The 25,204-nt window shown below is 45.8% G+C and overlaps 1 protein-coding gene across 4 annotated transcripts in view; it reads right to left on the bottom strand.

The window, feature by feature from the left end:
- The window catches only part of ATP2B4 (ATPase plasma membrane Ca2+ transporting 4), a 117,250-nt gene that overhangs the window by 15,711 nt on the left and 76,335 nt on the right, over positions 1–25,204 (bottom strand). For all 4 annotated transcript variants that reach the window (NM_001001396.3, NM_001684.5, NM_001365783.2 and 1 more), the window contains exons 8-20: positions 24,558–24,719; positions 21,148–21,362; positions 20,267–20,509; positions 18,829–19,070; positions 17,263–17,494; positions 16,232–16,411; positions 15,119–15,206; positions 14,094–14,200; positions 7,631–7,822; positions 6,961–7,174; positions 5,682–5,893; positions 4,383–4,490; positions 800–976 (exon numbers count right to left, since the gene is read on the bottom strand). In NM_001001396.3, the coding sequence (NP_001001396.1) occupies positions 800–976; positions 4,383–4,490; positions 5,682–5,893; positions 6,961–7,174; positions 7,631–7,822; positions 14,094–14,200; positions 15,119–15,206; positions 16,232–16,411; positions 17,263–17,494; positions 18,829–19,070; positions 20,267–20,509; positions 21,148–21,362; positions 24,558–24,719 (2,372 nt within the window). The remainder of the gene's footprint in view (positions 1–799; positions 977–4,382; positions 4,491–5,681; positions 5,894–6,960; positions 7,175–7,630; positions 7,823–14,093; positions 14,201–15,118; positions 15,207–16,231; positions 16,412–17,262; positions 17,495–18,828; positions 19,071–20,266; positions 20,510–21,147; positions 21,363–24,557; positions 24,720–25,204) is intronic.

Raw genomic sequence — 25,204 nt, 5'->3', positions numbered from 1 at the left:
TTATCAATGCTTAGATCAGCGCATTCACCCAGGAGAAAGTAGTTACAATTGATGCATGGAAAGTGGAAAAAATAAAAGTTATTGTGGGGCTATAGACAGGGGACATAAGAGCAGCAGGGGTGGCTTCTATCCCATTTCAGAAATTGCAAGAAGGGAAGAGGCTTGAAGAAATTATTGCTTCCTCCTTGTCAGGAAGCAAGTCTGAATCCTGCAAAAGATGCTCAGACATCAAGAGACTATTGTCATTTTTACACATGAAACCATCAGATTCCCCACCATGGCCTTACACTTTGAATGGGGGAGATATAACAAGGTGAGTTTCTTTTACAAAGACCCTTCCAGATAGCATCTATTCCTATAATGGCAGTGTGAGGAAGCTATATTAAGTGAATGCTGGGTATGTTGGCATATTGATATTGTCTAACTCCTTCCTTCTGAAGGGTAGGGAAAAACTGAGCATTTCCCACCCTGGGGTCAGGTCTAGTGCTTGCAAGAGACCTTATGCTGAAGCTTGCCCATTTGATAGAGGGTGGCAGGCTGGGCTTTAGGGTCAACCCAGAGCTAAAGGACTATGCTAATAGTGTCCCATGGTCTAGGTCATTTGACTCCTCTCCTCTCAGAGGACCCCACACAGATCCTTTTGCGTGTCTGTCCTGAAGCTGAGGATCTAGGGCTGCCCATCAGTAGTGAGCCTTTGGAAGGGAAGAGATGCTGGCCGACAAGAACTGCTACCCTCCCAACACCTTCCAAGATGGGAAGCTGCTTCTCCCAAGGGAAGGACAGACCACTATCAGAGTACCTGAGTCTGGATACGGTTCAGGCCCCGGAACCAGAGGATCTGGCCTCGGCGCAGCTCCATCTCAGCATGGTCAATCTCATCCAGTCCCTCGGCATCCTTGGTGATCTCCTCTTTGGTGGTGCCATGCCCAGCCTCCTTCAGGAACTTCAGGGATCGGGTAGGTATTGCGGAGATGAACTGAAAACAAGCGCAGCGAAGAGGAAGACGTCAGAATCAGCGTGAGAAGAGCTGTCAGTCAACTTACATGAGCCAGGCCCTTGGGCAGGTTACTCTTTGCCCTACCACCCTTCCCACTGGAAGAGCAGTGGGCAGAAGCACCAATCCATCCAGGCAAGCATTCTCCAAGTGCCCACCAGCGGTCAGGCTTTTAGGAAGGTTTTCTGTATTTATGGACACACACAAAAGAGAGCTTCTATTCTAGTAATTGACCAGCCATCTGCCTGGTCATATACTTCATTTTCCTCTTTCTGTCTCATTTCTTCTGTTCCATTTTGCAATCTGTCTTTTAAGGTTAACAGAACTATACAGCATGGTACGCAGTAGGAAGAAACAGAGACCAGGACCTGGGGGAAAAGAGTTTGGGGAGAAGATGGTGATATTGCCTATGTATAGGCAAGGGGTTGAGAAGGGTATTGGAAATGAATGACCCCTTTCTTAGTTGCCACATGCAAAGTAGTTTCTGTGTTACAAACTCTTGTGAAAGGATACCAAAAGTTTTCTTGGGCTTGAGGTGAGGAAGTGGATGGGACAGTCCATAGAAGAGGGGTCACATGAGTATTATCAGAAGACAAGGAGCAGTACATAGGGTTTGAAATTTGAAATAAATTTCCCGGTGAGCTCAGCACCTGTCAGTCAGTTCTTTCCGGACAAGATAAGGAGTAGCCAGGGCTCATGTGGGGAAGAGGGACTGTATGGGCAATCTGATATGGAGTCAAGGGTTTTGAAATGGGAAGAATGCCAGAGCTCTGCCTCTGAATGTGGAAAAAGCTGTTGTGATACAGAAGGAAGGCTGCTGTCTGGCAGCAAGGCCACATGGCCACATGTGAGGCAAGAGCCAGAACAGAGTTTCAAACAACAGGTTTAACAACCAAGCTTTACCAAAGCATAAAACTGCTTTAGGAACCCATTGGTAAAAAAAAAAAAAAAGAAATCTTCACCAAACAGAACAGGGTGGAGGGAATTGGGTCAGACATTAATTAGGGAGGGCTGGGTGCAGCGGTTCATGCCTGTAATCCCAGCACTTCGGGAGGCCGAGGCAGGAGGATTGCTTGAGCCCAGGACTTTGAGATCAGCCTGGCAACATAGTGAGACCCCAATCTCTTTATTTTTTGTTTTTCGACATAGAGTCTCACTCTTGTCATCCAGGCTGGAGTGCAGTGCCGTGATCTCAGCTCATTGCACTCCGCCTCCCGGGTTCAAGCAATTCTGCTTCAGCCTCCCAAGTAGCTGGGATTACAGGCATGTGTCACCATGCCCGGCCAATTTTTTTTTTTTTTTTTTGTATTTTTAGTAGAGACAGGGTTTCACCATGTTGGCCAGGCTGGTCTCGAACTCCTGACCTCAGGTGATCTGCTCGACTCAGCCTCCCAAAGTGTTGGGATTATAGGTGTGAGCCACTGCGCCTGGCCTGAGACCCCCATCTCTTAAAAAAAAAAAAAAAAAAAAAAGAAAAGAAAAGAAAAGAAAAAGAAATTATTCAGGGAGGCATCTAGGTATGAAATAAATAACTAGCAGGTTTAGGGGAGAAGGCCTGCAGCTCCAGAAATGGCTCTTTGAGGCCAGTTAGGGCAAAGTGTCCATTACCTGGGTGGCTGGACACTAAGGGATTATCTGCAGAGACCTGGGGTCTGTAAAGAGAGGTATAGCCCAGGCCAGAGCTGAGGATGAGGGAGGTTTGTAAAGTGGTATTAAGGAAGAAGTGAAACTATTAGACTTAATGATACTATTATAATCGTAATAGTTTAAAATTTGATTATTTATAAGGAATAAGACATTATTCATTACTGTATAGTAACTGATTCACTAATTAACAATGACCTTGTTTTCCTAAGCTGAAGACACTGAGACACAGATTGGTTATGTAACTTGCCCAAGATGATTCAGCTTATAAAAAGGAGAGCTGAGGCTGGGCACGGTGGCTCAGGCCTGTAATCCTAGCACTTTCGGAGGCCATGGCGGGTGGATCACCTGAGATCAGGAGTTTGAGACCAGCCTAGCCAACATGGTGAAACCCTGTCTCTACTAAAAATACAAAAAATTAGCTGGGCGCGGTGGTGGGTGCCTGTAATCCCAGCTACTTGGGAGGCTGAGGCAGGAGAATTGCTTGAACCTGGAGGGTGGAGGTTGCAGTGAGCCAAGATTGCACCATTGCACTCCAGCCTGGGCAACAAGAGCTGGGCCAGGTGCGGTGGCTCACACCTGTAATCCCAGCACTTTGGGAGGCCAAGGCAGGCAGATCACGAGGTCAGGAGTTCCAGACCAGCCTAGCCAACAAGGTGAAACTCCGTCTCTAGTAAAAATACAAAAATTAGCCAGGTGCGGTGGTGGTTGCCTGTAATCCCAGCTACTTGGGAGGCTGAGGCAGGAGAAATTGCTTGAACCCAGGAGGCAGAGTTTGCAGTGAGCCGAGATCACACAACTGCACTCCAGCCTGGGTGACAGAGCAAGACTCTGTCTCAGAAAAAAAAAAAAAAAAAAAAAAAAACAGAGAGCTGGATTCAAACCCAGGCAGTCATTCCCAGAGTCCATGCTCTGAACCACAGGCCATACTGCTACTCTAGAGATCTTGTAAATCTGAATTTATCTCAGGTAAGAGTTAAGAATTCCACCCAGATAAAGCCATGGCAAGAAAGAGAAGAGGCTGGAAACCCTGAATTATGTCAGCTCGACAGCCCATAGCCAGGTTGCTGCCTCATGAGAATAAAGACATGTGTCTTGTAAACTCTTCTACTTCTAAGACCCTTATTATATATTTTTTTTTTGTAGCAAAATTCCATTGAAAAGTTTGGTTTCTGTCTCAGAGAAGCTAAGGGATTTTTCTTTTTTTTTTCTTTTTGACACTGAGTCTTGCTCTGTCGCCCAGGCTGGAGTGCAGTGGCGCAATCTCGGCTCACTGCAAGCTCCACCTCCCAGGTTCACGCCATTCTCCTGCCTCAGCCTCCCGAGTAGCTGGGACTACAGGCACCTGCCACCATGCCCAGCTAATTTTTTGTATTTTTAGTAGAGACGGGGTTTCACCATGTTAGCCAGGACGGTCTTGATTTCCTGACCTCGTGATCTGCCTGCCTCGGCCTCCCAAAGTGCTGGGATTACAGGTGTGAGCCACTGCGCCCAGCCAAGCTAAGGGATTTTTCTACCTCCAGGCTTAGTTAGAGAAGAATTCTGAAACCTCTGAAGTGATCATTCCACCTTGAGATCCTATGAGATGGCAAGAACTTGAAAACTTGAGTGGGGGTGGGGAGGGAAGAGGAGAAGATGAAGATGAGGAGCTGGGGGGTCTCCACCGTTGCTTGTTCCATCTCATGTAGAGGAGGGGAGTTCTGCAGGCTGTGAGAATGCACCAGGAGGGTGTGCCGGTACTCACCTGGCCCCACAGAAGTTCTCCAATCCCAATGAAGAGACACCACAGCCACTGAGACAGGCTGAGGCTTGTACAACTGAAGGGTTTACCCCCAAATTCCACGATGAAAATCTAGAACAGAGAAAGGGGCAGCCCACCATCAAGGAAATGACTAACAGGCAGCTGGCCCTCCAGCCAAGGCCCCCAAAGCCACATCATCCCACTCCTCAGGATCCTTGGGTACAAGTCCCGATTTGCTTGCAGGGGAAGGGAAAAGAAGAAATCTCAAAGGGGAGACAGACAAAAACAGCCTTTAAGAGCACTCTGATGGGGAGACAGACATAGTTACTGTGACTATGATTAACAGACAATCTGGAGGAGTTAGGGGAGCTGGTGGCTTCTTGTGACTAAAGCCAGTTAGTGACAAGGAGAAGGTACAGTGATGGAGTTAGGAACTGAGGATGAGGTGGGAGGATTGCCTGAACCTGGGAGACTGAGGCTGCACTCCCCCTGGGGGAGGGGGGAAAAGAGAGAGAGAGAGAGAGGCAGAGGGAGAGAGAGAGAGAGAGAGAGAGAGAGAGAGAGAGAGAGATATCTGTCTCAAACGAAAAAAAAAAAAACAAAAAGAAAAAATGGCAGGCGTAATAACACTTTGGGAGGCGGGAGGATTGCTTGAGGCCAGGAGTTTGAGACCAGCCTGAGCAACAGAGTGAGACCCCATCTGTATTTTTAAAATTAAAAAAAAAAAAAAAAAGGAATTGAGGATGGGGACAAATAAAGGGAGGTGCCCTGCTGAGGGATGGGACATGATCAGCTCATAGTCTCATATTGGAGGAGTCCAAGCTGGGCTGACTATGTAATATACATGTACAAATCCCATTACTTCTCTTTCTTTGAGTTGCACAACACTTTTTATCATAAGCCCTTCAGAACAAAGGGCAGGGACAGGGAGAGTCTATACTAGATGTGCATGCACATTTCATATAGGCTGACAGGAGCCATAGAAAGGGACTAGAAGAGAATACTTCTTTTGGTCATTCTGTGAAATTTCTGTGTATTTAGAAAGATCATGAAAGGATTTTAGAAGTATTATTTTATTTCCAGTCAACATGCTGCCCTGCACTGGAGCTCTTGACACAATGGGCTCCAATTCTAGAGCAATATGCAAAAGAAAGCAGATTGGGAATCCCAAAGTGTTCAACTTACAGCTCCAGTCCCCGTAATTCCTTCATTCCTTTTCCTAGGTATGTAGGGAACCCTGGCTCCCAGCTTCTGCCCTTTATCATTCCAGATCTCCTGCCCCAACTGCAGATAGAATCTCACCTGGCAGATGAATGTGCCCAAGACTACAGAGCAGAAGATAATGTTGCGGTAGATGCCTGAAAAGACGTTCTTCTCTCCATGGATCTTTCGGGAGTTGATTTCATTGAAGAGCTGCATCAGCACGAAGGTGTTAAAAACAATGGTATAGTGCTGGCTGGGTGGTGAATGTAGAGGTGCCTTCCTCCCACTATCAATATCAAAGAATTTCTCACCTAGTGGGGAGAGGAGAAGCACTGGAGGTTAAGTGTGGTCTGAACTAAGAGTAAGAATGTGTTGGTACAGATATACTGCTTGCTTATGGCTGGTGTCCATTCTAATTAATCAATATCTGAGCTGCACTAGTTATTTATTTTTTTGACACAGGGTCTCACTCTGTCACCCAGGCTGGAGCGCAGTGGCATGATCATGGCTCACTGCAGCCTGGACCTTCCTGCTCAAGTGATCCTTCCATCTCAGCCTCCCAAATAGCTGGGACTACAGGCGTGCACCACCATGCCTGGCTAATTTTTTGTTGTACTAGTTATTAAACATTTTAAATGTTAGTTCTGGTCTTGACTTATTTTACCTTCTCTCTCAGTTTGCTGCATTGATACTTGCTCTCATGTAGTGCAGCATGGTAGTAAGACTATGTGCGCTGGAGTCAGGCAATCATAGGTTTGAATTTTACTGCAACTATGTACTCATTATGGGACCTGAGGTTAATTTTTTGAATCTGTAAAAAAAGAAATAAGCCAGGCGTGGTGGCTCATGCCTGTAATCCCAGCACTCTGGGGGGCTGAGGTGGGCAGATCACAAGGTCAGGAGATCGAGCCCAGCCTGGCCAACATGATGAAACCCCATCTCTACTAAAAATACAAAAAGTAGCCGGGTGTGGTGGCGCATGCCTGTAATCCCAGCTATTTGGGAGGCTGACGCAGGAAAATCACTTGAACCTGGGAGGCAGACGTTGCAGTGACCCGAGTTAGCGCCACTGCACTCCAGCCTGGGTGACAGAGCGAGACTCTGTCTCCAAAAAGAAAAAAAAAAAAAAAAAAAGAAAGAAAGAAATAATAAAGCCTCCCTTGTGAAATTCTTGAGTACACACAGTACACACTGTACTCAAGAGTACTGTATGAGTACATATAGTAGCATAATGCACCGTGTAGCGGGAGCACAGCAAGCACTGGGAGGTGAAGCTGCGCTTATTCCTGACCTGTGCACTTGCTCTCACGCTACCTTCTTTCTCTGCCCCCACCTCCAACCAGGACCCCAGCTGCTACCCACCCCCAAAGTGGCTCACCCGCAAAGACAAGGATAAAGATGACAATGAGCTGATAGAATGCATGGCCCAAGATGTTCTTCATCATAGTGCGTGAGATCAGAGGCTTATTTCGGCCATAGGGGCGCCGCTTCAACAGAGATTCCGTAGGGGGCTCTGTGGCCAGGGCCAATGAAGCAAAAGTGTCCATGATCAGATTAACCCACAACATCTGCACAGCTTTCAATGGGGAATCCTGGCGGGGAGAAGAACCAGTCCTTTTAGCTTTTCTCTGAAACCAGCCCACCTTTGCCCTGTCGATGGCCCAGCTCCCACGACCCACCTAGACTTGGAATCTGGCCACTTCCTAGCTGAGTGACTGTGAGAAAGCTACTTAACTTCCTTGAGCCTCAAGTTCCTCACCCATAAAATGGGGATAATAATACCTACTTCACAAGGTCATTTTTGAAGAATACAGATAGTGCATATAAATGCTTATTACAGTGGCTGACACATAAGTGCTAAGCTAAGGCCTGTAAGTTACCATCTACATAAGCAGATGAAGACAGCAGACTTAGAAGAGCTAACTCCTGTCCCAATGTCATGGGGAAACGCTGTCTTTACTCTTCAGTAAACACACCGTAGTCTTCACTCCATGTTCCTTAGCCCCTGACTCATCCCTCCCGTCTCAGCCCACCCACACCCCCTTCACCTGAGTGATACAGGCTCCAGTGAAGGCTACAATCACGGCCACCACATTGACAGTGAGCTGGAACTGCAGGAACTTGGAGATGCTGTCATAGACATTTCGTCCCCACATCACTGCCTTCACAATGCTGGTGAAGTTGTCATCTGTTAGGATGATGTCTGAAGCCTCCTTTGCTACATCTGTGCCTGCGATGCCCTGAGGTAAGATGGGAGGGAAAACAGTGAGGGAGTGGATAAAGCCCAGGCTCCATTTCCTGACCTCCAGGAAGCTTCCGAAGTCAGTGTAAATACTACAGGGCACACTAGTCACACAAAAGAAAACAAAGAGCAAATGTGTCACTGTCACTCTAGAGAAAGGAGGGCTGCGGCCTGATGCCACCAACCTTACTGTTGAGCTCAGACTGGGAATTACAATCATCTTTGATATCCCTTTCACCCTCCCCTCCTACTCCCTCAACCTTGGAAACTAATTAAAAGGTAGAGAGCAAATCCTGTCTATTCTACCTCCAAATTCTCACATTTCTGTTGCCACTGCCAGTATCTCACTTAAGCCCATGTTATTCCGACACCTTTGAGAAACTCTGCATTTGTTCTAGGAGTAGTAGTATGGCAGCACAGTTCCAAAATTTCATCTTTGTTCAAAATTTTCCTTTTAAGTTAAATTAAAAAAAAATTTGAGACAAGGTCTTGCTTTGTCCAGGCTGGAGTGCAGTGGCAGGATCTCAGCTAAATGCAAGCTCCACATCTGGGGCTCCAATGATCCTCCCACCTTGGCCTCCTGAGTAACGGGACTACAGGCATTTGCTCACCCTGCTTGGTTAATTTTTAAATTTTTTGTAGACATGGGGGTCTCTCTATATCGCCCAGCTTTATAATTACTATTATGAAATAATCTCTAAGTTATGTTGGTAAGTGAAGAAAGAAAGGTAGAAAAATGAGTTGATGGTATGGTATCACTTATCTAAGGGGGCAGGCCATGAATATATTACATTTATTTATTTATTTATTTATTTATTTATTTATAGTTTTTGAGACAGAGTCTCCCTCTGTTGCCCAGGCTGGACAGCAGTGGTGTGATCTCAGCTCACTGCTACCTCTGACTCCTGGGTTCAAGCGAGTCTCCTCTCCTGCCTCAGCCTCCTGAGTGGCTGGGATTACAGGGACGCACCACCATGACGGGCTAATTTTGTATTTTTAGTAGAGATAGGGGTTTCATCATGTTGGCCAGGCTGGTCTTGAACTCCTGACCTCAGGTGATCCACCTGCCTTGGCCTCCCAAAGTGCTGGGATTATAGTCATGTGCCACCGTGCCCAGACTGCATTTGATTATACTTTAAAGGAGCAAACAGAAGAATACACCAAAAACGACAGAAAAAAATTACCTATTGAATTAAGAGGGAAGCAGCAAGGCAAAGGCAATGAGGGTGGAAGCCGGATTTGTATGAATATACCTTGTTTTGTACATTTGACTTTAGAACCATGTATTTTATCTCTCTTGCTTTTTTTTTTTTTTTTTTTTCGAGACAGGGTCTTGCTCTGTCATCTAGGCTGGAGTGCAGAGGTGTGATCTTGGCTCACTGCAGCCTTGAATTCTTGGGCTCAAGCAATCCTCCCACCTCAGCCTCCTGAGTAGCTGGGACGACAGGTGTGTGCCAGCACACTTGGCTAATTTTTTATTTTTTTTAGAGATGGGAGTCTCACTATATTGTCCAGGCTGGTCTCGAAATCCTGGCTTCTAGTGCTCCTTCTCCCTTGGCCTCCCAAAGTGTTGCGATTGATTACGGGTGTGAGCCACCACACTGGCCTAAAAAGCAATCTCCAAAACGGAAAGTAACATGATATAAATGATCTGGTAGCCACTTGGTAGCACAACTGCACACACACAGACAAATGTTACAAATGACTTAAAAACAATAATTTGATGGCACATTCCTGGTAGCATATACCTATGGATAAAAGGAACTATGAGAAAAATATTTAATTGTTTTTGGCAGAGTAACTGTATTATTAATATTATTGATATTTTGTAACTACTTGAAATATTTTAGAATAAAACAAAAAATAATCATGTTAATGCAATTAGGAATCAAAATTTTCAGCTTAAGGGATACAAACATAAAATCAGGGAAGTTAAATACAATTAGAAGCTGGGTGTGGTGGCTCATGCCTGTAATCCCAGCATTTTGGGAGGCCAAGGTGGGCAGATCACTTGAGGGTAGGAGTTTGAGACCACTCTGGCCAAAATGGCGAAACTCCATCTCTACTAAAAAATACAAAAATTAGCAGGGTGTGGTGGCACACGCCTGTAATCCCAGCTACTCAGGACGCTGAAGCAGGAGAACTGCTTGTACCTGGGAGGCAGAGGTTGCAGTGAGCCAAGATCATGCCACTGCACTCCAGCCTGGGCGACAGAGTGAGACTGTGTCTCAAAATAAATAACTAAATAAAATAAAATAAAATAAAATAAAATAAAATAAAATTAGAAAGTTATAAATCAGGAAGTTAGACATCTATAATTCTTTAAAAAATTATTATTTCTTCTAAAAGTGGAATAAAAAATATGTAATTCTAAAAGTAAATGAAAAACAGAAATATGAATTCACGAAGTATTTTCTCTTTGTGAGCAAACACAAAACAAACACAAAAGCAAGTGAGACTTAAGAGCATACTTCTTAGCTTTGTCCACTGAAAAGGCTTAGAAACAAAGATCTACTCAGTAGCAAGGAACACCTTTGAGTTCCAATTGTGTTCTCTAGTGCTCCTTCCCCCTTGGCCTCCCAAAGTGTTGGGAGGCCGTTTCAGGCCGGGCGCGGTGGCTCACCCCTGTAATCACAGCACTTTGGGAGGTTGAGGTAGGTGGATCACTTGCGGTCAGGAGTTTGAGACCAGCCTGGCCAACATGGTGAAACCCCATCTCTACTAAAAATACAAAAAATTAGCCAGGCTTGGTGGCAGCTGCCTGTAATCCCAGCTAACTCAGGAGGCTGAGGCAGGAGAATTGTTTGAACCTGGGAAGTGGAGGTTGCAGTGAGCCGAGACTGCCCCACTGCACTCCAGCCTGGGTGACAGAGCAAGGCCCCGTCTCATAAATAAATAAATAAATAAATAAATAAATAAAATAAATACCATTTCACATTAAAATGAAGCAGGAATCCTTGGAGAAATGGACTATCTCCTATCCAGGATAAAAAAGAACGAAAAAACCAAGAATAAACCAAGAAAGCTATTAAAAACAACTGGGGTTGTATCTAAAGGACTCAGCAATGTTGAAGAGGCCTCTTCTGCCTAATGGTGGATCACTTTGAGCATCAAAACCATACTAAGAGCAGTGGATTGAAACACATCAAATATACTTAAATCTATGAATTCGTAATGATACTTAAAAAAAAATCCACTCATTGGTCACCTTTGGAGGTTCCTAAAAAGTCAACTCATCATTTTAAAAAAAACCAGTAATTAAAAAACAAACCAAAAACCTACCTTTCAGGTAGGATTGGAACCTCAGAGTAATCAAATAGTCAATGAGGGGGAATCTCTTTTGTTTTTTGAGATGGAGTCTAGCTTTGTCACCCAGGCTGGAATGCAGAGGCGTGATCTTGGCTCACTGCAACCTCTGCCTCCCGGGTTCAAGTGATTCTCCTGCCTCAGCCTCCCAAGTAGCTGGGATTACAGGCGCCCGCCATCATGCCCAGCTAATTTTTGTGTTTTTAGTAGAGACGGGTTTCACTGTTTTGGCCAGGCTGGTCTTGAACTCCTGACCTCGTGATCTGCCTGCCTCAGCCTCCCAAAGTGCTGGGATTACAAGCACGAGCCACTACGCCCGGCCGGGAATCTCTTTTTATGTAAGTATTTAAGTTAATAAATAAAGAATTACAATATTGTCATTTTGCAGCCCTCAATGAAAGAAAGGGTCTAGAATCTGATAACTTCTAGAACCAACTACTTGCTTATAGGAAATATAAGGAAGAAAATAATACGTTAAAGGAAATCACAGTGAAATAATCAACAAAATCTATACTGAGGGATAGTCTCTGCAGACAAACAACCCACTTCCTTCAAAACTAAGTTGCTAGGAAAAAAGATGGAGGGGGATTGTGCAAAAGAGAGTTAACACAGCAGGCCTGAGACGACTGTCCTTAGGAAGGAATGCTTGCAGGGTGGGCCCTTGGCTGGCTTCTGGGAAATGGGCTCTCAGAATGCTTGCCCTCAACAACTAACTGATAAAGGTGGCTCATTGTGTCTAGACTGTGTCCGAACAATGTGGTTTACATTGAACATTTGCTTTCCTTTTGGGAGTCTGGAATTTTGGTATGTGCTAGGCAGAAGGTGCCTATGTGACCAGCCTCAAGAAAAACCTTGGGTACTAAGTCCATGATGGGCTTCCCTAGGCAGAACATCACACATATATTTCTGTGTTTTCATTAGTGGGGAAAGAATGGACTCTGTTTGACTCCTCATGGGAGGGAGAGCATAAGAAAGACTGCAAATAGATTTATCCAGATTCTGCCATTGTCTTTTTCTTTTATGATCCAACTGTATTCTTACTACATCACTGTTATGAATCTTAGTCATGAGTACAACTATATGCCAAGTCCCATGAGTCCTCCTAGCAACCCCATGAATATAGGGGTGTTTTTGGGGACTCCCAACATAGAGATCCTATAAGATCAGTGATTCTTAAAGTTTAGGGTACATAGAATCACTGAGAGAGCCTGTCAAAACACATTTAACAGATTTAACATAATTAATTAAGATTTCTGGGCCCCAGTTCCCGGCTTTCCAATTCAGTAAATCTGGGGTGGGGCCTGAGTGGGTGAATCTGCATTCTATGGGTTTGTATAGAAACCTACTATACAGCTAGTACAGCTACTGGTACAGCTGGAAGGAGGCGCACTCCAAGAGATAGGTTAAGAGACTTAACAGATGTATCAAATAACTGCAAGTTATGGATCTTATCTGAATCCTGATTTGGGCAAATAAACTATAAAAACATTTGAGTCAGTTAGGAAAATGTGAACAAACTAGAAATTTCATGATAGTAAGGAAGCATCGATTTTGTTCTGAGATAATGGTATTAAGATTCTTTTAGATATATAGATTATTGATATATAATTATTATTTAGAGGCATATAATGAAATTTTTTTTTTTGCCCCACACCATCCCCCCATATAATGAAAAGAAAATTTTTTTTGAGACGGAATCTTGCTCTGTCACCCAGGCTGGGGTGCAGTGGTGCTAACTCGGCTCATCGTAACCTCTGCCTCCCAGGTTCAAGTGATTCTCCTGCCTCAGCCTCCGGAGTAGCTAGGATTACAGGCGCCTACCATCATGCCCAGCTAATTTTTGTATTTTTAGTAGAGCTGGGGTTTCACCATGCTGGCTAGACTGGTCTCGAACTCCTGACCTCAGGCGATCTGCCCGCCTCAGAGTAATCAAATAGTCAATGAGGGGGAATCTCTTTTGTTTTTTGAGACAGAGTCTAGCTTTGTCACCCAGGCTGGAGTGCAGTGGCGTGATCTTGGCTCGCTGCAACCTCTGCCTCCCGGGTTCAAGTGATTCTCCTACCTCAGCCTCCCGAGTAGCTGGGATTACAGGTGTGAGCCACTGCACCCGGCCATGAAATTTTTAAGGATGAAATTACATGATGCCTTGCATTTGCTTCAAAAACAATTCAGCTGAAGACTGGGGATGTAAATGGGGGGGAATCACTGAAACAAGATTGGCCATGTGTTGATCATAGTTGAAGCTGAGTGACAGGTACCTGTCAATTCTCCCTATTTTTGCATATTCTTGAAATTTCCTAGAATAAAACCCTTAAAAAAAAGAGTTCTCTAAAGATAGATGACTTCTTAAATGTCCTTCCACTGCTAAAAATCACCAACAGTTCAATCTGTATGGGAGGCTTATAATCATAAACTACTTGAGTGTGAGGATAGAATCTGGGGGGCTTCTAAACCTTTCTGAACATCAGAATTAACTGGTGTGCCTGTTAAAAAAAAATTCTGGTATTCATCCCAGACCTACTGAATTAAGACGTCTAACTGTGGAGCCTTGGAACATGTGATTTCACATGAACTTTCCAAGTGATTCTGATGCTCTTGGCCTCAGAAGTGAAAAGCGGAATACCCAATGGTGCCAGCCACACAGAGCGCCTACCATAGGGAACACAAATCTTCTAGAGTTTGCCTAGTTGACAACCTCACATGTTTATAGGCAAGTTTATGTTGGTCTGGCTTTCCTGCATATGATTCTTCATGACTTCCCTCCCTCTTATCTATTCTTCATACTTGATGGGTCCCCAGTTACATATATCATGATTGGCCCGGTAGATAGGAGAGATGGAGTTGGACAAAAAAGCACCCCATGGGCTATGCAGGTGTAGCAAGCAGCAGGCAACCAGAAGCCGGACCTGGCTTCCTGATGGAGAAGGCAGCTTGCAATCAGAGAGACACTGTGCTGAGCTTACCATGGCAAAACCAACATCCGCTTTCTTCAGAGCAGGCCCGTCATTTGTGCCATCACCAGTGACAGCCACGACCTGCCGGTGTTCCCCAACAGTGCTGTCAATTATGCCTGGGAGAAACAGACACACCACAGTGAGCTTTTCTGGTCTCCCCCACCCTTCAGTTCCTACCACCCGCCACTCCTTCTACTTTCTTCTTTCCTTCCCTTTTCCCTTTCCTAGAAGTTCTACAGGAACCACCTAAGGGCAGTAAGTTGTTTCATGAGTAGCACTGAACTAAGTTTGTCCTCATCCGGTACCCTAAGACAGCTATGAAGAACACATAGGATGGATTTCAAGGCAGAGACCTAGGGGTCAAACTGCACCATTTCCACGTACCAGCTGGGTAATTTGGGTAAGTTACTTGTCTTCTCAGCCTCAAACTTCCTCATTTGTAAAATGGGAATACCTGCCCTGCCTAGTTCACAGTACTATTGGTAAATAAGACATGATCATGTTTTTAAGAACCCATGCAATTGCCAGGTGCGGTGGCTCACGGCTCTAATCCCAACACTTTGGGAGGCCGAGGTGGGCGGATCACCTGGGGTCAGGAGTTCGAGACCAGCCTGGTCAACATGGTGAAACCTTGTCTCTACTAAGAATACAAAAATTAATCAGGCATGGTGGCATGCGCCTGTAGTCCCAGCTACTCGGGAGGCTGAGGCAGGAGAATCACTTGAACTCACGAGGCGGAGGTTGCAGTGAGCTGAGATTGCACCACTCCACTCCTGCCTGGGTGACAGAGCAAGACTCGGTCTCCAAAAATAAAAACAAAAAATAAAAAAAATAAAAACCCAACAACTTTATTGTGTGTCATACTCACCAAGGGCTCAGATGTTTGCTAACTGTATGTTCTCCCCACTAGCCTGGGAGCTCTCCTAGGACCTCCCTATTTGGACAGGAGAGTGGCTTTGGCTGGTGGTTCTTATCTGTCCTCGCCCTGGCCTGCCTTCAGCTGTTGCAGGCACCTATTTGGAAGCCAACCTCACCTTTCACCAGGGTGTGCTTGTCAGTGGGAGAAGATCGCGCCAGGACCCGAAGCTTAGGCCAGATCTTGTCCAGCTTTTCTTGCTCTACCTGCCAACACCAGACCACACCTGGATCAGTCAAATGCAGAAAAGCTATCCAGGAAAATCTTAACTTCTCCATACACTTGGAGTCACTGGGAGATTGGGTACACCACAGTCCCACATGAAAGTGTTATTCTGGATTAAGCAGAGATGAAACAGCCAACCAGTCTCCAAGGGTAGATTCATGGATGATGACCATTCAGGCCCTGCTTTTTTTCTTTTTCCTCCCAAGTCCCTACCTGGCAGCCAATCCCCCATTTCCCAGACCTTTAATGGGAGGTGGGCCAGGGTTGGCTGTTGGCTCGGGTGGGTAAAGTGGTGCTTCTGAGGTCTTAGGTTTGATTTCTATGTAGCTCAGGAAAGCTTGGATCTGTGCCACCGCCAGACCACATTCTCCTTTAGCCACTGTTAGCCAAAGGGCAGGGACACAGGAGGGGTGGGCTAGGGGGAAGTCAGTATAAAAAACTGAAAAAGCAGAAAGACAAGAAAAGTTAGTGACACTGTCTCAAAAGATAGCTTGTGAATGAAGCTAGCAAGCTTCATTCACAAGCAACTCCCCCCCTCTTTTTTTTTTCTTTTTTGAGACGGAGTCTTGCTCTGTTGCCCAGGCTGGAGTGCAGTGGCATGATCTTGGCTCACTGCACCCTCCGCCTCCCAGGTTCAAGTGATTCTCCTGCCTCAGCCTCCCCAGTAGCTGGGACTACAGGTGCACGCCACCATGCCCAGCTAATTTTTGTATTTTTGGTAGAGACGGGGTTTCACCATGTTGGCCAGGATGGTCTCTATCTCTTGACCTTGTGATCCACCCGCCGTGGCCTCCCAAAGTGCTGGAATTACAGGAGTAAGCTACCGCGCCCAGCCGGCAACTCCCAATGTTACCATATCAGCAGTTTGGTACAAGGAGATGTTTCACTACGAATAGCTTTCACTTTAGAAACCACCCACCTTCCCGCACATGACCCAGATGCCTTATGCTAGAACCCGCCTTTTCCTTGTCAGGTGAGGTCCTGGTTCCCCCTAGCCAGGACCCACCTCGCCTTTCTCGTTGCGGATGAGCCGGTTGAATTCTTTGCCTTCTAAGCACAGGAAGTCATCCCCAGGTGTCAGAATGCCACATTTGGTGGCAATGGCCCGGGCTGTGTTGATGTTGTCACCTGTCACCATTCTGACAGTAATGCCAGCTTGTTTGCATTTGGCAATAGCATCTGGCACCTATGGAGAGTGAAGAAAGGGGAAAGGCGCAGATGAGGGTGATGACCCTGGTAAGCTGTCCCTGTTTGTCTGTCCCTTTGTGGCAGACAGGAGAAAGGCACCCTAGAAGTGGTGCCATGCAGCATGGGCTAGGTCTGGTCATTTTGATACTGTTGGGTGCCACCTCACTTCTGTCCTACCCACGGCAGTCACATTTGAATTTGCCCTATTGTACCATGAGTTGAAGGGGAAATTTGCTTTGGGAGTGAGGTGTAAAAACTTGCTCTTTCACTTACAATTGAGACTTCTCGGCAGGGCATGAATGGCATTTTGCGATTTGGCCAGTGCTTTCTTTTCTAGCAGAAGCTTTTGCCACTCTCCACCCACCTGGCCCATGTTCCAACCATATCAGCTCTTTGTAATTTCCCACATGCATGACACCCTCTCATGCCTCTGGGCCTTGAGAATTAATAGTCCATCTGTCTAAACTTCTTAGAAGCAGAGACTTTTCAATCCCCTAGTGTCTAGAATAGTTATCAGCACACAGCAGGTACTCAAAAAGAATGTGTTGATTGAAAGGAGGGAGCTAAAGACAAAGTTGGTGTCCTGGCTAAATTGACCTCCTGACAACACTTAAGTACCAAATAATGAGCCCAATAAGCCCTTTGCTTCTCAACACTCAGACAGCATTAGTCCTAGGAATGCCACATTCGATCATACTGGCACTCCACAGCAGTCCTGTGAAGCAGGAAGCACAGAAACTTCTATCCCTCTAAGTGAGAGGCAGTTAGGTTACCTGCCTGGGGTCACAACTAGAAAGGGAACTAGTACCCCACTTCCTGAGACTCCTGGGTGGCTTCCCACCCTCTCACCTCTGGGCGCACAGGGTCCTCAATGCCCACCACCGCGATACAGGTCAGTTCGGTGAGGATCTCATTCTCATTGTCCCAAGAGGGCTCTGTGTCATCGAAGTCCCGGTAAGCTATGCAGATAGTCCGGAGTCCATCACAGGCCATGGGCTCGATGACAGTGCGTACCATATCATCTCTGTCTTTATTCTTGAATGGCACTGCTTCCCCTTTCCGGTCCAGGATTCGATTACACCTGGGGAGGCGCACAGTAAGAACGCGGTGTCTCCCTTCCCACTCAATACGTTTCTACAATCATTGACAGGTATTTTGGCAACTCTGTATTATTCCTAAAGACATTGCTCCAAGTGTGGCCAAACATTTCCTTCATTCATCACCCAGCTGAGTCCCTCTTTCCAAGGTAGGTGGGCTGTGGATGGAGTTAAGGTCTAGATATATAGAGAGTGGGATTCTCCCATGTCATCTGTTCTTACCCATATGTGAATGCAATGCAAGTCATTTGTGAATCACCTGCTCTTTTGAACTTCTTGAAGGCAGAGAGACTTTTTCAATCCGAGTATTTAGAATAGTGCTCACTGTGTGGTGCTGGTGGTTTGGGGGAGGTTTCCTATACAAGAATGTGCTGATTAAAAGAAGGTGGCTAAAGCCATGTTGGAGCACTGGTTAATTCAGCCCTACTTAGGTATAGTGCCAACTTTTGATGAACTATGGGTAATTTATTAATAGTCACTTTTTTTTTTTTGTAATGGAGTCTCACTCTGTCACCCAGGCTGGAGTGCAGTGGTGCGATCTCAGCTCACTGCAACCTCTGCCTTCTGGGTTCAAGCGATTCTCCTGCCTCAGCCTCCTGAGTAGCTGGGATTACAGGCACGCACCACCATGCCTGGCTAATTTTTGTATTTTTTTTTAGTAGAGACAGGGTTTCACCATGTTGGTCGGGCTGGTTTCGAACTCCTGACCTCGTGTTCTGCCTGCCTCGGCCTCCCAAAGTGCTGGGATTACAGGCGTGAGCCACTGCGCCTGGCCGAATAGTCACTTTTAAAGTTATGTAAATTCCCTGTAATCAGAAATGGGAATGGGAAGGAAAGAGAAGGAAAAGAGAACACAGAACAAACGTTTCTAGTACTTGTTATGTATAAGGCATTTTACATACATTGAATCATTTAGTTACAGTGAGGGGGTAGTACTTTTAGGAGCTGAGTATGGCTATCTCTGTTTTCAGATTAGGAAATGGAAACTTAGGATCGTCCAGGTCTGAATCCTGGCTGTGCCACTATTAGCTGTATCACCTTGAGTGAGATACTTAACTTCCTTATATCTCTGTTTTCTCATCTGTAAAACAGGGATAATCATAGTACCCACCTTACTGAGTTGTGAGGATTAAATACAACAAGCCACCTTAAGCACTTAAAAAACATGCGTGGCCTGAGTAGACGCTTGGATATTAGTTATTATGTCACCACCTGGCTGGAGGGCTCCCTCATTCACATGGGTTCAGTGTGGGGTGTGCACCCATGCCTTCCTGAGGAGAGGATCTTGAAGGGAAGCAGAGTGGTCGGGGGTGCTCACTTGCGCAAGATGATCTCAGAGGCGCCCTTGCTGTACATACGGAAGCCACCGTTGGGATTCCTGATGACGGTGCTCATTGACTTGCGCACTGAGTTAAAGGTGTACACCTTGTAGAGCTTCTCCTCGGGCACTTCATTACGCACAGCCTGATAATCCTGCTTCAGATCTGTGACAAAGCCTAGCAGAGCACACTCGGTCTTGTTGCCCACCTGCCGAGGCAGGCCTCCCTCCTTCTCTGGAGGCTGGGAGAAGAAATATACACAGCACTATTGAGTAAGATGCCTTGACAAGGCAGAGAACTTAGGGAGAAAGAACTCATTTACAAAGCCTTCACATTATATACCTGGAGCTCATAGGGGAAATAACATTTTTTTTTTTCTTTTTTGGAGATGGAGTCTCGCTCTGTTGCCCAGCCTGGAGTGCAGTGGCACGACCTTGGCTCACTGCAACCTCCACCTCCCAGGTTCAAGTGATTCTTCTGCCTCAGCCTCCTGAGTAGCAGGGACTACAGGTACCTGCCACCATGCCTAGCTAATTTTTGTATTTTTAGTAGAGACCGGGTTTCACCATGTTGGCCAGGCTGGTCTTGAACTCCTGACCTCAGGTGATCTGCCCACCTCAACCTCCCAAAATGTTGGGATTACAGGCATGAGCCACAGCACCTGGCATCTTTTTTCTTTTTCTTTTTGACATAGCACCTTGCTCTGTTGCCCAGGCTTGACTGCAGTGGTGTGATCTCAGCTCACTGCAGACTTGACCTCTTAGGCTCAAGTGATCCTCCCACCTCAGCTTCTGGAGTAGCTGGGACTACAGGTGCGCAACCATGCCTGGCTAATTTTGTTTATTTTTGTAGAGATGAGGTCTCACAATATTGCTCAGGCTGGTCTCGAACTCCTGGGCTCAAGCGATCTTACCATTTTGGCTTCCCAAAGTGCTGGGATTACAGAAGTGAGCCACTATGCCTAGCCTGTTGTTTTTCAAGGGTAGGCAGAGAGGGGTCAGTGGTAACCGTGATCCTTGTGCCATCCAGGGCTTAGGGATTTTGTAGTTTGCTCTAGTGGTAGTGCTGGTGTCTCGCCTTGTGTGGGTCTTATTCTAATACACTATGCTTGTTTCTAGAAAGTGAGTAATTTACTTCTGATAAGCCCAATTCTACTTTGGGTTACTTTCTACTTTCCCTCCTTAGAGACATTGCTTTTACATGCTAATTGGGAGGGTATTTCCTGGCCATAGATTCTTACAGGCCCTTACCTCCAACCCTCCATTGACTCCCAGGGATTTTTCTGTAGTCTCACCCAAACATGTTCACTCCAGCGTGAGAAATGGGATGTGGGATGGCAATTTAGGCAGTGTAAACAATAAGGGGGTTCATTTCAGAGAAAATGGATGTTCCCTTCCAACCACCCACTCTAAGTGTCTACGCAAAGGAAATGCTTACCAGAATCTTGGAGGTATAAGCACTGTTGATAGAAATGCCATTGACAATGAGGTCCAGGACTTTGGGCAGGAAGACATCAGGGCTTGGGATTTGACGGTAATGGATGCCCCCAATATAAGCTTGTACCACAGTCATGCGGTTCATGGTCAACGTGCCTGTCTTATCAGAGCAGATGGCGGTGGCGTTGCCCATGGTCTCACAAGCATCCAAGTGCCGTACTAGGTTATTGTCTTTCATCATTTTCTACAAAGGAGAAGAGAAAAGACTTGAGAGGGGGACTAACTGGACTCTCCTAAATCTAGGTCAAAGGCCATTTCCTAGCCAACATCTCTCCACATTTCATCTTCCAGTCCCACACAAAAATCCAAGATACTGACTGGGTGCAGTGATTCATGCCTGTAATTTCAGTACTTCGGGAGGCTGAGACGGGCAGATCACCTGAGGTCAGAAGTTCAAGACCAGCCTGGCCAACATGGTGAAACCCTGTCTCTGTAAAAGATACAAAAAGTAACTGGGCATGGTGGTGCACACCTGTAATCCCAGCTACTTGGGAGGCTGAGGCACGAGAATCACTTGAACCCGGGAGGCGGAGGTTGCATCATTGCATTCCAGCCTGGGTGACAGAATGAGACTCTGTCTTAAAAAAAAAAAAAAATCCAAGATACCATTTTTGTCATTCTCTTAAGATTCTGCTGGGTCATTTCAACATTGATGCATCTGACAGAGATGGTCCTTCCATAATACCAGGGACTTCTGCTCTTGTGAGGCACCAGCCAAAGTTTATAGATGATAGAATGGCTTATCTTTTCACTAAAGGTTACATGGTACCCTTCTCTCCCATCTCTATCCTAAAGGAAGAGATAGGATTGTTCTAGTCTCACCTTCACAGAGTAGGCCAGTGAGATGGTGACAGCCAGAGGCAGCCCCTCTGGCACAGCCACCACCAGTACAGTGATGCCGATGATGAAGAACTTGACAAAGTACTGGATGTAGATGGGAGTACACTCAGGGAGCCATGGTCTGCGATTTATCACAAAGTTGTCAATCACAAAGTATAGAATCAGGATGAAAACCGTGAGAGCAGACATGAGCAGACCTGTCCAGAGAAACAAGTCATATGAACCCAGGCTGGAGGGCAGTCCTAGGGCCCTAGCCAGAGATAGATTGGCATCAGTTGTAGCCTTTGTTGCCAATTATTAAAACCACCATCGCCAGGAAGACTTACTAAAATCCCCCCCATTCTCTGTTGCTTGTACATTATAGCATAGGGAACAGACAGTGGTTTCGTATTTCAAAGACACAGGTTCTATTCTCAGCACTGCACTAACTTGACTTGTGGCTTTGGACAAGTCATTGACCCTCTCTGGGCCTGTTTCCTAGATCAAATTCCTCATTCATAAATCAGGGGGTTGATCTGTTTCCTGAAACAGCTTTCTATGATCCTATTCCACGCCCACCCTCTCCCTGCGATTCATAATGTCATGACTGTACTTGTCCATTTCATAGTAGTTTATCAATTTTGACTTCTCCTCTACTAACCTCTGAATGTTGGACAATTCACACCTTGTTTACAACAATGCCTCTATGGTGCTAGTGTATCACCTGCATGACTAACTCTTAGAACAGTGCTTCCCAAGATTTCTCTTGTCACGGCACACATAGAAGATGCCAATAATAGTAAATACTTATGTGGGCACCTGCTGTGGGCCAGGCAAGCACTTCACAACCCTGTGAAATAGGTCATTATTATTACCGCCTTTTTAAAGATGAGGAAATGAAAGTACTGGGAAGTCTTTGGTATGGCCCATTGGTAGAGTAACCAAACCATCCTGAGACTACTGAACAGTTTCCAGGGATGTGGGGCTTTGCTAAAATTGAGAAAATCCCAAGCAAACTGGGATGGTTGGTTACCCTACACATTACAGTACGTGAAAGAATCTGCTCAAGGTCAAAACCGACTGGCTTAGGGGTTCTGATTGCCATGGGTGCTGCCTGGATGCTTTGAGGGCTGATGGAATCAATATCTGGGGACAACTGTCCCTAACTGTGGCACAATATTTGGGAAAAGCTCTGCTTTAAATCATTATCTGGTTTTGGTTTTTGCTTTTCCCAAGGGCCTGATGATTCGGGGGCCTCCAAGCAAGGCTAGAGATGATGATATCAATGAAAGCAAATTCTTCCGTTCTTTGCTTGATTAGGGCCAGGACTCAGGTGGAGAAGCAAGCCACTGAGAGTGCAAAATTTAAGGAACTCACTCTCCAGGTGGTGGAAAGCATCTGACTTGCCTCACCCTATTCCTGGACTGGCCTAATATATAAAATAAAGCAACAGAGGAGACTAGTGGCCAGCCATCAGGTAGCTTGTACTCTGTAAGAAGAACAAGGCAGGGGACAGGTACAGTGGCTCACGCCTATAATCCCAGCACTTTGGGAGGCTGAGGCCGGCAGATCACTTGAGGCCATGGGATTCCTTGAGTCCAGGGGCAGATCACTTGAGGATAGGAGTTTGAGACTAGCCTGCCCAAAATGGCAAAAATCTGTCTTTACTAAAAATTAGCCAGGCATGGTGATGCACATCTGTAATCCCAGCTACTCGGGAGACTCACTTGAACCCCGGAGGTGGAGGTTGCAGTGAGCCAAGATTGCATCACTGCACTCCAGCTTGGGTGACAGAGTGAGACTTTGTCTCAAAAACAAACAAACAACAACAACAACAAGGCAAGGATTAGGAGAATAGTACAAGGGTTAGGTGGGGTAGATTTAATGTTTCAAACCTGTGTGTTTGATTCTGCACCTGCAATTCATCTCATCCATGTATAGTTTATATGCAAGAGATTTCACAGTAGTTAAAATTAGCTGGGTACCAGAATGGACATGAAGAGGTTAGGCCAACTCAGTCCAATAGATCTTTCTGTGACGCTTAAGAAGTTCTCTATTTATGCTGTCCAATATGACAGCCACTACTAGCACATGTGGCTCGTGACCAACTAAAATTTACCCCAGCAACTGGATTTTTAACTTTATTTACTTTTAATTAATTTAAATTGCAGCAGCCACATGTGGTGAGTGGCTGCTATGGTGGGCAGCATAGATCCCTGCCATCCAATGTGTGCAAACTGAATCAGCGGTGCTGGCATCCTGTGGGGGCTTATTAGGAATGCAGAATCTCGGGCTCCACACCAGACCCCCTGAACTGAATCTACACTTTAACAAGAACCCGAGGTAAGTTGTATACAGCTGTATAAAGTGCAGAGATGTGCTGATTATGATTGTGGTAAACAGAAAGGTGGAATCAGAGAATAAACAGTGGTAAAAAACTACTCTCTGGCAGGGTGCGGTGGCTTATGCCTGTATCCTAGCACTTTGAGAGGCCGAGGTGGGCGGATCACTTGAGACCAGGAGTTCGAGACCAGCCTGGCCAACATGGTGAAACCCCATCTCTACTAAAAATACAAGAATTAGATGGGCTTGGTGGTGTGCACCTGTAGTCCCTGCTACTTGGGTGGCTGAGGCAGGAAAGTCGCTTGAACCCAGGAGGTAGAGTCTGCAGTGAGCTGAGATGGTGCCACTGCACTCCATCCTGGGCAACAGAGGAAGACGCCATCTCAAAAAAAAAAAAAAAAAAAAAAAAAAAAAAAGACTGTTCCTTGAGAGATATGTCCACTAAAGTAGCAATCTTCTATTTCTTCTTCCCACTCCCCTTTCTCCCCCTCCATTGAAAGAAGGTGGTGAGACAGGAAAATGTAGAGGCAAGTGATGGAGAAGCCACTTCCTCATATGCAGAGTGCATTATTTAGTTACCTCTCTTCTGGAGAGAGCCTCTGTAACCACAGCCTTCCTTCTTCCTCCAGTCCTTACTTGGTATTTATTGCTCTGTGCTTAGCCAGATCCTACTCCTATGCTAGAGAATTGCCTGTAGCAAGCTGCAGCCTTCTCTATCTTTAAGGAATTTACAACCCAAAGCAAGAGACAGGTAAGCAGTTATTAAAGTCTTCCTTCTTGCTAATGTAAATCTCCCCTGCTGTAATATATGCTCTTTGTTTCTCATTCATTTGGATTAAGAGATCTCAGGGCCATTAACCCTTACACACAGGAAAACATTTCTCTCTGAAAAAGCCTAGGGAGCGACCAAACAGTGGCGGAGATAGGGAAACAGCCGCCTAGCCCCAACTAGCCACCCTGAAGTTTCAGCTTCTTTCTGCCAGTCTCGGTCGGTGCAGAAAGAAGGGGATAAAAGTGATGAGGATCCAAGACAACATTGATAAACCACAACGAGGCTCTACCCTACTCACCGGCTTTCCCAATCTGAACAGCCAGGCGAGTCAGCTTGCCCTGCAGCACTGACTTCTCCTTTTTAGGCACCTTGACTGCCTTCTTGTCCTTTTCCTCATTGTCGATTCCCTCCTGGCTGTTGAGTGGCTGGATTTCCAGGGCCACTCCGTCTTGGGTCTTTGCTGGAGTGTACACACAAATAGGACAGGTGAGCAGGCAAGGTGGTAGCACTGAGTGGCAGGCAGGTGGAAACCAGAAAACCTTCCTGTCTCTTTCCCGGAATATACCTTGGACCCTGACATCAGTTCCGACCACTTCCAACCCATGCTAGACATGGAACTTGCCTTCAACACTCTATTAGGGCCTTTGGAATAATATTCTAATGAGTTTAGATGAAACTGGGGTGCTTTTAGGGTATGGATTTCTTCTTCAGTGGCAGCTTCCTGGTACTACCTCAGAGTCCCAAGCTAGGTTTATTCCAGCAAGGGGATTAATCATGTCACTAAGCACTATTAAAACAACCATCCTTCCTGGAACTCAGTGCTTAAAATAGTGAATCTTTACTGCAGAAAGGGGCTGAAGGAGAGGGTTGGCAGATGTTTCTGGAGCACAAGATTGCTCTGTTAAATGGTTTATCTCTCTCTCTCTCTCTCTCTCTCTCTCTCTC

This window comes from Homo sapiens, chromosome 1, assembly GCF_000001405.40.
Source record: "Homo sapiens chromosome 1, GRCh38.p14 Primary Assembly".
NCBI lineage: Eukaryota > Metazoa > Chordata > Mammalia > Primates > Hominidae > Homo > Homo sapiens.
This window is presented reverse-complemented; position numbering and strand designations above follow the sequence as displayed.